The sequence below is a fragment of the Homo sapiens genome, chromosome 12 (genome assembly GCF_000001405.40).
Source record: "Homo sapiens chromosome 12, GRCh38.p14 Primary Assembly".
In the NCBI taxonomy this organism is placed as follows: Eukaryota; Metazoa; Chordata; class Mammalia; order Primates; family Hominidae; genus Homo; species Homo sapiens.
Genome location: NC_000012.12, coordinates 9370019 through 9383269, shown reverse-complemented (window position 1 = coordinate 9383269; position 13251 = coordinate 9370019). Strand labels below are relative to the sequence as shown.

The window sequence follows — 13251 nt, the reverse complement described above, 5'->3', positions numbered from 1 at the left end:
GTGAAGACCAAGTTAAACACCACAAGGATACAATTAGCAAAATCCAAACTATGAGAAACGCCATAATGAGGATACATTTAGCAAGATCTGAAATACAGGGAAACAGTCTTGTTTCTTCAATAAATAAATTGCAAAGGAGAAACAATTGATGAAAGGAGAAACCTATAGATCCAGAAATACTAACAGGCAAATCAAACAATCATAAGGAGAGACTTTATTTGGATTTTGATTCAAACAAACTAACAAAAAAATGAAATTACTGGAAATTTGGAGACAGTAGGGTAGTTGGTAGTATTAAAGAATAGTAGTGTGCGATGGTTGGTATGATAATGGTATTGCAATTTTGTTTTTTTTTTAAAAGAGTTCTTGGCTGGGCACGGTGGCTCATGCCTGTAATCCCAGCACTTTGGGATGCTAAGGCGGGAGGCTCATTCGAGGCCAGGAGTTCATGACCAGCCTAGCCAACATGGCAAAACCCCATTTCTACTAAAAAAAAAAAAAATACAAAAAAATTAGCCAGATGTGGTGGCACATACCTGTAATCCCAGCTACTCGTGCAGCTGAAGCAGGAGAATCACTTGAACCCAGGAGGCGGACGTTGCAGTGAACTGAGATTCCGCCACTGCATTCCAGCATGGATGACAGAGCAAGACTCTGTCTCAAAAATAAATAAATAAATAATAAGTTCTTATCACTGGGTATGGTGTCTCATGCCTATAATCCCAGCACATTGGGAGGCCAGGGCAGGAAGATCACTTGAGATCAAGAGTTCTAGACTAGCCCAGGCAACATAGAAAGGCCCTATCTCTACAAAAATAGAAATAAAAAAATTATCTGGGCCTGGTGATGTGCATCTGCAATCCCAACTATTCAGGAGGCTAAGGTGGGAGGATTTCTTGAGCCCAGGAGGTTGAGGCTGTAGTGAACCATGATCACACCACAGCACTCCAGCCTGGGCAACAGAGACCCTGTTTCAAAAACAACAAAAAATTAGTCCCTTTCTTTTACAGATACATACTAAGATATTCACAGATGAAATTACATAATGTCCGGGATTTGCTTTAAAACAACAAGAGAGGGGGATAAGTGGGTGGGAGTATACAGGAAACAAGATGGGCCATGAGTTAACAAATATTTAAATCTGCTGATAAGGAGGTGAAAGCTCATTACACTATCCTCTTGTTTAAAATGCTCCAAATGGAAAGTTTTTCTAAAAATCTGCTTCATGGGTTTGTAGTGAGCATTGAATAAGGTCATGTATACAGAGTGCTTCATCACCATGGCTGACAGGAAGTCAGCATTCAAACATTGTTTTTAGTTTTGTATAGTCCCTGTCCATTAACCACACCCAAAAGAGGTGGGTTATTTACACCAAGAACCCTGGCCCATGGACCTTTGCCCACTTGGAGGTAATTCATTAAAATTTGAGGTTTAGGATGAGGAAGTGCCAGCCTTCAGAGTCCCAGGCCTATTGTGCAACAGCAGAGCCAACAGCGCCAAATGCCTCCCTAGCATGTCTGGTGAATAGGATCACTTTCCTCTCGCCTTGTAGACATACTTGAGATCATTCACTACTTTTCATTCATTTCTTATGTGCCAGGCATTGGGTGCTGGAGATCCATAATACAGTGGATCCTTAACTGACTGGAAGCATCACTTTCAGAGCATCATTTCAGGATGAGTGTTTGAGTGCCAAGTGAATTCAAGCTACAGGGCTAAGGATCCATGGCCTCAGTCACCATGAAGACCCTCCCAAGAGCCAGTCCTACGAGGCACATAGAAACGAGTGGAGACAGAACTCACTCCTGCAAAGCCTAGAACCTGATAGAGCACACGAGACAGGAGCCCAAATAACCAAGAACCGGGAGCTGAATGTGAGAGGTGGGCTCCAAAGGATTCGGCCACCAAGGTGGAGAAGGTATGTGTGCAGAATGGGAAGTAGTCAGGTTTGGCTGACACATTTAGCAGGCATTTGGGGAGACATGGAAACTGAGGCTGGAATGATCCACTAGGGCCACGTGTGTAGAAGGTCAGGTTCAGGCATCTGAATCTCAGTCGGTATCAACAGAGTTGCTTCTTGGTGCCGAGCAAAGGCTCACAGGCTTAGGACCAGGATTCAGGAAGTGGTCTCTTGCAGCAAGGGGCTGAGTCCACCCTGGGAAGGCCCATCCCAGCCTGACGGTGCACCTCAAGCTCACATCACATGACCACATGCGTCAAACAAACCACATGCATGTTCTCACATGACCATATCTATGTTCCCACAACCATATGCATGTTCACACATAACCACGTGCATGTTCACACACAACTATATGTATGTTCACAGGACCATATGTATATTCACACAGCCATATGCATGTTCACATGACCATGTGCATCTTACATGCCACCATATGCACATTCACATGTGACCACATGCATGTTAATATACGACCATATGTGTGCTCAGGTGACCACATGCATATTCACACATGACCACATGTATGTTCACACACTTAATGATTCACAGCTTTATAAGACCTGAGACAGATGTGCGTTTTGGGAGATCCAGCTTCACGGTATGGGCTCATCTTGTCCACACATGGAGACTAGGCCTGAACTATCTCTGAGAAAGTTGCCTGCCAGTTTAGAGCAGGGCTTGGGAAACCTTTTCCATAAAAAGCCAGTTAGGAAATGTTTGAAGCTTTGCAGGCCATGTGATCTCTGTTGCAACCACTCAACTCACTAAAGCAACCATGGACAATACATACATGAAGGAGAATATAAAGGTGCATTCTGATAAAACAGGAGCTGGCCATAGTTTGCCCAGCCTAGTCTAGAGTTTGTAGCCTCTTTCCAGAGCCCAAGTGCCCCCTCCAGACACAGACCCACTCCAACTCCAGCCAGAGACCCAGGCCTCATTCGTCAGAGACTGGGAATGCTCCTTCAGAAGGACACCCCTCCAGGCCTGAGGATCTGTCCACTGTGGGAGGCCTGGAGCTACTCGTTCTCCACCCAACTTGGTGCAAGCTGACCCCGTCAGGCCCTGCCACCGTTAGTTATCCTTGCTGACCACCCTCGGCATCCTCTCAAGCAGAGGCTGCCCACTTCTCACGTTCTATGCCACAGGGTCGGGCACTGCACTGGCTCCTTCCAGCCCCAGAGAAGCCCCTCTCCACAGCCTGTCACTCAGGAGCCCTTGCACATCCAGCTGAGCCCAGACAATTTCTTTAGGAAACCACCTCAACACTGAAGTCCAGATCGCAGGCCTGTCCTGGAATGTTCTCCTTGCAGCCTGTTCTTCACTTATGAGACCACACTGCATATTGGACTACAACCATCAGCCTCACCATCTATCTCTTCCTTCACCTTCTCCCCCTGTACCAGGCCATGAGCTGTATGGGAGAAGGAACTCATCACAGTGCCTGGCCCGGGAAGGCTATTCATAAACATGCAGTGAAAGAATACACAGGCTCTTCCAACAAGAAGAGAGACTGGACCTTACAAGACCCAACAGGAAGGCACTGTCTCAAAACCAGTGAAAAATACCAAGGATCTAGATAAGAGGGTGCAGTGGGAAATGAAATAGTGGGGTCTGGGGAGACGCCCCATATTTGTCAATGACTCATAATCTTTCTCCCGAGATCGCTCCTCCACCCTTGTGTTCAGCTCCACCAACACTTACACCAGCCACTGAAGCCAGAAACCTGGGAGACTTCTGCCCTCATCCGGCCCCATCTAGCCAAAGACCAGAACCTGTCATTTCAACCTCATGTTCACCTCACTGCCCTTCCCACTGCTCCTGCCTTAGTTCAGACAACTGCCCTCGCTCCCTCCACCTAGTTCAAGCCCAGCTGACTGGGCCAGCGGCCCTCAGGCCTGCCCTTCTCCATCCTGCCACGTCTGTCCTCCACAGGCAGAACAGGGAGCTGTCATTTTAAAGTGCAGGTCTGCTCTGGTTGTTCTCCTAATGAAACCCTTTGGGGGCTTATCGGATCCTTCCAGGCCCTGGTCCAGACTCCTTAGCATGGGCATGCAGGACAGCCCTCCATGATCGTCCCCTCCCTGAGACCCCTCCTGCCCTCAGCACCCTGTGTTCAAGCCCCAGCTCGCCCTGTGGTGTCACACTCAGCCCAGCTCCCCTGCCTGGGGTGCCCTGCCTGGTGTGCCCTGCCTGGCCTAGGAACCAGGAAAACCTGCCGGCTTCCAAGACTCAGCTCAAGCACCTCTTCCTGCTGGGTGTTTTCTGAGACCCCTCCTCTCCCCACTTTCCGGGGATCCCACAGTCCCCTGAAGAGCCTTCTGCCCCAGCGTTTGACCTCACTGTTTGGCCCTGTATCTGTTTCCACGGCTGCCTCACCCTTTTAGACCACCAGCTCCTGCAGAGCAGAGCCCCATATCTCAGTTGGCTTTGCATTCCCAGTGCCTAGCACAGAGCCTGGCTCCCATGAACCAGGTAATTTTCAATAACCCTCGAAAATTCACTGGAATCCTGGACAGTGCAGAGGAGGCACCTGGGATGGGAGAATGTCTGCTGCCCTCTCCTGGGGCAATGTGAGACATTGTCGTAAGCCCAGACACCTCCCTCCCGGCCTTACAAAAACAAGGGCAGGAAGGGGAAGCTGGAAAAGGAGCTGATGGAGAATGGGGGAGATGGATGTTGTCTAAGGAGACAAACTAGATTGAGAGGTTGCTGAGACTCTGCCAGCTCCCACACTATTCCCACGTCCATGGGCGCAGGGGCCAGGTCAGTGCTTCCAAAGGAGGCTGCATCCTTAGTGGCTGTGGCTCCCTCCAACAAACCCTAAATGAGATCTTCCTTCTCAATGTCACCTGTTGTCGTGTTGTTGTAACTATCACTGCAGCTTTTATTCACTTCATTGGGTAATCACTGAGTTTTTCCTCCATTGCTGTAGAACATGTGGCTTGCTCTTGTGTGTAAAAAGACTGAATTTAACCGCTGGCTTTTCCTGATTTTAACTCAGCTTCCTACTGTTAGGAGGTTATTTCTAACATTCTGGGTTTCTCAGCTTTCTGTCAAAACCCAAATACCGTCGTTCCTTAGTAATTATTGGGGATTGGTTTCAGGATCCTCCCTTAAAGATACCAACAGCGCAGGTGCTCAAGCCCCTGATATAAAATGGTGCGGCATTTGCAGACAACCTATGCACACCCTGCATGCACTTTCAATAAGCTCTAGATTACTTGTGATACCTAATTCAATGTAAATACTATGTCAATAGTTGTTTAGGGAATTATGATAAAAAGAAAAGCTTGTACATGTTCAGCACATATGCAATGTTTTTTGAATAGTTTTACCAAACATGGTTGAATCTATGGATGCAGAGCCTACAGATACAAGACACGCAGGTGGGGAGGGCTAGCTACTCTGGTTAGGATCCCCCAAACCCCACTCTGTCCACTGCTTCAACAGGTCAGGTGATGTCATGTGCCCCTCCTCGAAAGGAGTAGCATTATCTCAGCTCCTCTGGGGGCTGCAGGTCTAATTGTCTGCATCTTGACACCTGGAAAGTTTGCCCAACACCTAACACAGGACGTGGATTAGGGGAAGGAGCTTGGGACTGTAGATGGATATTTGTGAGGGACCGTAGATGGATATTTGTGAGTGATGTGCATAGAGACAGCCCCCTGCAGAGAAAGATCATCTGTTGTTCACCTTTGAATCCTCAATCTCTGTTGCACAGGGCATTCAGTAAACATCAGATGTCTGTGGAACAAATGCATGGATTGTACATAAAAGAAGCAAAAGGGACTACCTTCTCATGGTGTAGAAATTTAGAGCTGCATGACACATTTAGCCCTAAATTTAGGAATCCACCCCTCTAGGCAAGAAATACCTTTTCCAATGAACTAATGATCTCTCCACTCCTTTCCCTGAAGAGTTTACTGAACAATGATCAGGAGGGCACCATAAACCTTATTTTCATGTCAAACAGTACCTGTCCTCCAATGGTTTATCTATTTGGTGAGACATGATACAAATGAAGAAAGATTGCTCCCCATCCTCAGAAAGTCTGTAACCTCACCAGACGAGGCATCCGTCTCACACTTGCTTCTCCAGAAGGACTAGAGAACCACAGGAGACCATGTGTACTGAAAGGTTGAATGCACAATCACTTAGCACTGAAAATATGCAGCACAGAAAATAAGTGTTTGTAGTTGGGTGGCACTATCAGGGCAGGCTTCCTGAAAGAAGCTGGCTTTGAACTGCCCTAGGCTGGGAAGAAGTTGAAAAGAGAACAGAAAATTCATTGGTCTGTGGTCTGGAGGCACCCTGGGTCCTCGGACCCTGAGTCTCAGCCAGAGATCCTGGTGGGGAGACAGAGGTGTGAAGCCATCGACCACCCTGCCCATGTTCTCACTCTTCAGAGTGTGGCACCAGGGCAGAAGCAGCAAAGATGACCACTGCATACATTCCAGCTCCCAGACAGAGGTGCACTTGGCTTCTGATGCACAAGGCCCCGTTCAACAAAATCCATGCCTTTTCAGGGTGCAGGATAATAGAGTGAAGTGCGTGTGGACCGGAGAGAAGTGCTGCCCAGGTTAATGGCACCAGCTCAGAGCATCCTCAGGGAAGCCAGCACGTTTGGAGAAGATTGAGGGACGAGGCCATCTAATGAGCCAGAAGGTCCCTGAGAGATGAGGCGGCCTTGGCCTCTGGGATTCCCTACCCCTCATTCACAGAAGCAGCTTGGTCCGTGGAGTTAAGCAGCACTGTTCTGAAATAATAATGAACAGCACGCCTGGCATGCCTCCTGTCAGAGCCCAGTGAGGTGGGCAGGCCAGTGCTGTCTCCCCAGCACCTGCTCCTACCCCAGCCAGCAGCCCTGACCCTTCTGACAAACCCCAAAATGCTCCAACCACTATGTGGTTTCTCACCATCTCCAGCCCAAACTCTCTGCTTCCAAAGCCTAGTGGATCCACCCAATGGACCTCACCTCCCGCAGTCCCAGCACACGCTGCTTAATCTGAGAGGAGCCTGCTCCCTGCGCGGCAGCGTGCATGTTGACCTGGGGGCTTTCTCGCACTGTTCCCACCACCTGAGATACCTGCTCCCTTCTACCCCGAACAATGGTAGGAAAAAATCAACATGGACTTAGAATCAGAAGAGCCAGCTTCAAGTCCTCCACTGAAGAGAGAGTGCATATTCCCAAAAAAGAACATAAACTTAGGATCTTACAGTGACAGAGGTCCGATGTCCACAGTCAGTCTCCGAGGGCTGAAGTCACGGTGTCATCAGGGCTGGCTCACTCTGGAGCTCCAGGGAGACGTTGCTCCCTTGCCTTTCCCAGTTCCCAGAGGCGGCGTGGGTTCCTTGGCTCATGGCCCCGCAGCACATGGACCTCTGCTTCTACGGCCACATCTCCGTCTCTGACTTTGGTCTTTCTGCTTCCCTCTAATGAGGACTCCTGTGATTACATCAGACCCAGCCAGGTAACCCAGGAGAATCTCCCCATCTCAACATCCTTAGTTGAATCACATCTGCAAAGTCCCTTTTGCCAGGTAAGGTAAGAAACTCACAGTTTTTACAGATTAGGTTGCGAACATCTTTGGGAGGCCATCATTCAGCCTAGCACAGTGAGATATATATGTATCTTTACTTTCTGTTTATTTTTAGTGACAGGGTCTCACCATGTCGCCCAGGCTGACCTCAGACACGTGGGCTCAAGTGATCATCCTGCTTTGGGCTTCCAAGTAGTTAAGACTACAGGCAGATGCAACTATGCCTAGCTTCTATCTTATAAATCAATAAGAAAACAGTTTGATTTTTTAAATGGGTAAAAGGCTTGACCAGGCACTTCACCAGAGAAGTATACAAAATGGCAAAAAAAAAAAAAAAAAAAAAAAAAAAGTGCCTGAAAAGATTCAGAACATCATTATTCATTAGGGAAATGCAACTTGAAACCACAACGGTATCCACACTAGAACAGGTGAAATCAAAAGACACATCTGCGTTGGCAAGCCTGCAGAGCAGGGGAACTCTCACACGGTGCTGACGGACATACAAGATGGCACAGCTGCTGTGGAAAACAGTTCAGCAGTTCCTTATAAAGTCAAACATAAGACCCAGCGATCCTTCCCCTTAAGTGTTTATCCAGGACAAATAAAAGCAGATTTCCACACAACAATCTGTACAAGAATGTTCCAGCAGCTTCCCTCTGCTCCCCACAAACCGAGAGCAGCCCAAGTGGCCTTCAGCTGATAAATGGATAAACAAACTGTGGTACATCCATAGAGCGGAATATATTCAGTAATAAAACAGGGCAACTTACCGATACACATCTAACACGGATACCTCTCAAGAGCTTTACACTAAGTGAAAGCAGCCAGACACAAAAGATACCTACTGTAGGATTCTTTTACCTGAAATTCTAGAAAAGGCAAAATGACAATGCGAGAAAGCAGGTCTATGGATACTGAAGGCCAGGAGGCAGGCTGCTGGGGAGGAGCCTTAAAGGGCACACGGGAACTCTGAAGGATGCTGGAAATGGTCCATGTCTTCACTGTGATGACCACGTGGCTGCATGCATTTATCAGAACTCACTGAGCTGCACACCTAAAGCTAGCAAATTTTAACATATGTCGACCATAGCTCAACAAAGCTGATATTAAAAATCAATTGAACTGTTGCACAACAACGTGAGTATTCTTAATGCCACTGTACTCTACAATTAAAAATGGTTTAAATGGTCAATTTTATATTATATATATCATATCACAATTAAAATAAATAACCCCCCTAAATCAATTGCATTCCATATACTGGCAGTAAACAATTGGAAAATACACTTTTGAAAGGAGCATTTACCAAAACCAAAAAATACCTAGGCATAAAACTAAGGCAGGCAAGACCTTTACACTGAAAAATATGAAACACAAAACATTGCTAAGAAAAAAATTAAAGAAATACCTAATTAATGGAGGATTATATCATGTTCATGTATTGGAAGACTCAATATTTCCAGATGCCAAATCTCTCTAATTTGATGTACAGATTCAGTGGAATGCCAATCAAAATCCCAGCATTTTTTTTTTTTGGTATACATTGAAGATGATTCTGCAGTATATATGGAAAATCAAAGAATCAAGAACAGCCAATGCAGCCCTTAAACAGAACAAAGCTGGAGGACTGAACTGCCAGACAGCAACACTTCTTTTAAAGCTACAATAACTAAGATGCTGAAGTGCTGGCACAAAAATATATTCTAGGACCAATGGCGCAAACAAGAGTGCACGGAAGTGAAAAATGCGGTAACACCTGATAGATGACACGGGAGACAGCACAGTTAAGTGGGGAGAGGGTGGTCTTTCAATAAATGGCCCTGGGTTAGCCACACATCCATATAGAAAAATAGAAACCGTGACTCTCCACCTCAGTCCTGATGTAAATAAATCTGAGATGGATCCTAGACCAAAACATGAAGGGTAAAAAAAGTCAATCTGTGTTAAGCATGGTGTATTGAAGAAAAAAAAGGTCTAGATTTTTTTTTTTTAAATAAGTTTATCTTTATAACAAAGGGATAGGCAAATATTTTTTATACAAGACACACATAAAAAACCACTAACTATAAAAATAAGTAAATAAACAAAAATAATAAATAATATATTGACAAGGTTGTTAAAAATAAAATATAGTAAAAGTAGATTAATTGAACTTTATTAAAATAAAAAATATATGGTTCATCAAAAAATACCTTTATGTGAGTGAAAAGACATGCCACAGAGCAGAAGATTATTACAATATATGTCTTTCAAAGCAAATCTTATCTAGAATATATCAAGAAATCCCACAGATTTCTTGTGGGAATTTCTTGTGCTCACGCCTGTAATCCCAGCACTTTGGGAGGCCGAGGTGGGCAGATCAGGAGGTCAGGAGATCGACACCATCCTGGCTAACACGGTGAAACCCCGTCTACTAAAAATACAAAAAATTAGCCAGGCGTGGTGGCGGGTGCCTGTAGTCCCAGCTACTCGGGAGGCTTAGGCAGGAGAATGGCGCGAACCCGGGAGGCGGAGCTTGCAGCGAGCCAAGATTGAGCCACTGCACTCCAGCCTGGGCTACAGAGTGAGATTCCGTCTCAAAAAAAAAAAAAAGAAAAGAAAAAGAAACCCCACAGATTAATAACAAATGACAATAAAAATCTTTATAAATGGGTCAAATAAGTATTTCACAAAAGAGGCCATTCACACAGCCAATAAGTATATGAAAACCTGTTCAACTTCATTAACTATCAAGAAAATACAAATTAAGCTGACCATGGTGTGCATGCCTGTGGTCCCAGCTACTCCAGAAGCTAAGGAGGGACAATTCCTTGAGCCCATGAGGTGGAGGCTGCAGCGAGCTATGATCACACCATTGTACTCCAGCCTTAGCAACAGAGTAAAACCACGTCTCAACAACAACAACAACAAAAAAAAAAAAAAGAAAGAAAAAAAGGAAAGAAAATGCAGGTTATATAGCACTGCATTCCCCAGATGCACTAGAATGAAAAGAACTAACAATACCACGTGTTGGCAAGAGTGTGGAGCTACTAGTGCTTTTGTCTGCACTTGGTGGGCGTGTAACTTGAACCACAACTATAAGAAACTTTCTGTATCTGCTAAAGCTACATGTAAGAAAAAACCATGACCTAGCAATTCAATTTCTTAGGTATCTACCAAACTGAAATGAGCATTTATGTTCACCAAAAGTCATATACAAACACATTCAGAGATGATGAATGTTCATTCATCATCATCAAAAAGTGGAAGGAATAGAATGGATACAGTGTGGGGTGCTCCGGCCATGGAAGATTACAAGACAGTGAAAGGCAGTGAGCTCCTCCTGTCTGCCACAAGAGGGATGAATTTCACAGACATAATGTGGAAACAAGGAAGCCAGTCACAAAACAGTCCATACTGTATGATTCCTCTCATTCCCACTGATTTCAGAAACAGTGTTTGGAGGTTACTCAATTGTCGTGAAAAGAAAATCAGGAAAGACACTGACACACCAATTTACTATCAAGGGTAGGGTAACCAATTGCTATTTGTAGTTGTCCTGTGTAGATAAAGGATTCAAAGCATGGAACAAAACACCTTTGGTGTTAGACGTAGGCAGGAGTAGGTGAAGCTTGATCTGGTTTTTCTCATCTCCCTTCCTTGGCCTGGTCAGCTTCATCATCAGCATTTTCCTCCTCCTCACTCCTCCCCCAGTATCGTTATTCTAATTTCTGTCGTTTTTTTTCCCCTAGGAAATATACATTTTCTAGAGCCCAATCTGCCAGGAGAGATCTAAGAGATTACAAAGGAAAAAACTTGAAATTCTGAGGACAGAGAAAAGAAAAAGGAAGAGTTAATGACTAGTGAGACACCATCATGTAGACTGGTGCCACATGGAATCTGGGGCAACAGAACATGATCTATCCAGATGGACATACAGGGAAAGCTGGTGCTGGGAAGCACCTTAAGCTACATGATTGCAATAAATTTTGCTCACCAGTGATTGTGGGGGCTGAAGTATATTTCTCTTTGTTTCCAGTGTTGCCCAAGTTTGAAGTTAAAGTCAATGCACCATGAACAGTAACTATTTCAGATGATGGATTCCAAGTGGATGCGCGTGCTAAGTAAGCATTTATTCAGGAGATTTGCCTTCACAAGGAGACACAAAGCTTAGAGATAATAAGTGAGATTAACCAGGGAACTTAAATTATTTATATGCTTGCATTAATATTATTAGAGAAGCAATGTATTCTCATTGTAGAATATTTGAAAAATATAAAGAAAAAGATTAGAAATTACGTAAAATTAATTCTACCAACAGCCATTAACATTGTGATTTATTGTTCTACCATAAAGAAATACATACACACATGTTCATTGCAGCACCATTCACAATAGCAAAGACATGGAATCAACCTAAATGTCCATCCACGGCAGACTGGATTTAAAAAAAAATGTGGTACATGTGCACCATGGACTACTCTGCAGTCACATAAAAGAACTAGATCATGTCCTTTGCAGGGACATGGATAGAGCTGGAGGCCATTATCCTTAGCAAACTTACAAAGGAAAAGAAAGCCAAATACCGAATGTTCACATTTATAAGTGGGAGCTAAATAATGAGAACACACGGAGACAATAAGGGGAATAACAGACATTGAGGCCCACTTGAGAGTAGAAGGTCGAAGGATAGAGAGGACCAGGAAGAATAACTATTGGGTAGTAGGTTTAGTGCCTGGAAGACAAAATAATATGTACAACAAACCCATGTGACATGAGTTTACCCATCTAACCTACATGCACTTGTGCCCCTGAACCTAAAATAAAAATTAAAGAGAGAGACAGATACACAAGCTCAAAACCAAGGACTGAGAACAAGCTTCTGCCTGGAGCAGGAATGGATGACATGGTTCACCAATCCTGAAAAGGACATGGAAGTGATAGATATACCAGTAAATCCAGATATGCTCATGGAAAACAGATGTAGAGGGAGAAGTTGTATTTAGCTTAAGGGAATGTATTCTGGAAATAAGGAAAATAGAATGCATGAGAAAAGTGGTTAATGGTCACTGATGTCTACTGGTTGTTGTGGAAAACAGTCAACAGTCTTAACTAAAAAAGAGATGAACAGACTTTTAGGGGAGGGTCACAGAGTCTAAACTTCAGTTATAAAACAGAATCTCAAAATTAGCTAGCTAGCTAGATAGATAGACATATTTATTTTCCTCTAATTTTTAATGAATATTTTTCATGACTGCCATCATATTTTTCTGTTCATGATAACTAAGAAAACTTGTCTCTATATTATGCCAATCTTTTCATAAATTCCAATTTTCTGCTGCATAAACATATCTTTATGTGACTACACGAAATTTATTTAGTTATGCTTTTATTATATAACATATAGATTATTTCATTTTGTTTTCCTAGTAATTAATAATTTTGTAGCATATGTCTTTGTGTATAACTATATAGTAAGTAGCTTTTGAATTAGGAATTGTTCACTTAAGAAAGATTTCCAGAAGAGGAATTACCAAGACAAAATATGCAACATTCTTTTAGTCTTCTGATTGCCATATTGCTCACCAAATATGTTGTGTCAACGTAGAATTCCAGCAGCTAGTATGGAAGTGCCTGTCTCACTGAATCTTCACCATCATTACATATTTTCATTAAAATAAGAAAACAAGCTATTGGAATGTCATTGTGAAGATAAGGCATCATCCATTTAATTTGAATTAATTGGAATCTTCTTAATGTTACAAA

General features: G+C 44.0%; 2 long non-coding RNA genes across 2 annotated transcripts in view, besides 1 other annotated feature; one reads left to right on the top strand and one right to left on the bottom strand.

The window, feature by feature from the left end:
- Window positions 1-13251, bottom strand: part of LINC02367 (long intergenic non-protein coding RNA 2367) — a 30154-nt gene that overhangs the window by 14348 nt on the left and 2555 nt on the right. The window contains exon 2 of the long non-coding RNA NR_120479.1: window positions 7184-7412. This is a non-coding gene — a long non-coding RNA (long intergenic non-protein coding RNA 2367). The remainder of the gene's footprint in view (window positions 1-7183; window positions 7413-13251) is intronic.
- On the top strand, window positions 1848-11488 carry LOC101928030 (uncharacterized). The gene is made up of 2 exons (NR_120481.1): window positions 1848-1918; window positions 11238-11488. It is a non-coding gene; the product is annotated as an uncharacterized LOC101928030 (long non-coding RNA).
- Window positions 4045-4547: an enhancer, noted in NCBI's record as "H3K27ac-H3K4me1 hESC enhancer chr12:9531319-9531821 (GRCh37/hg19 assembly coordinates)". NCBI's record gives its function as "activates a minimal SCP1, AML or CMV promoter by ChIP-STARR-seq in primed H9 embryonic stem cells {active_cell/tissue: H9 hESC(primed)}" and the evidence as "EXISTENCE:reporter gene assay evidence [ECO:0000049][PMID:30033119]".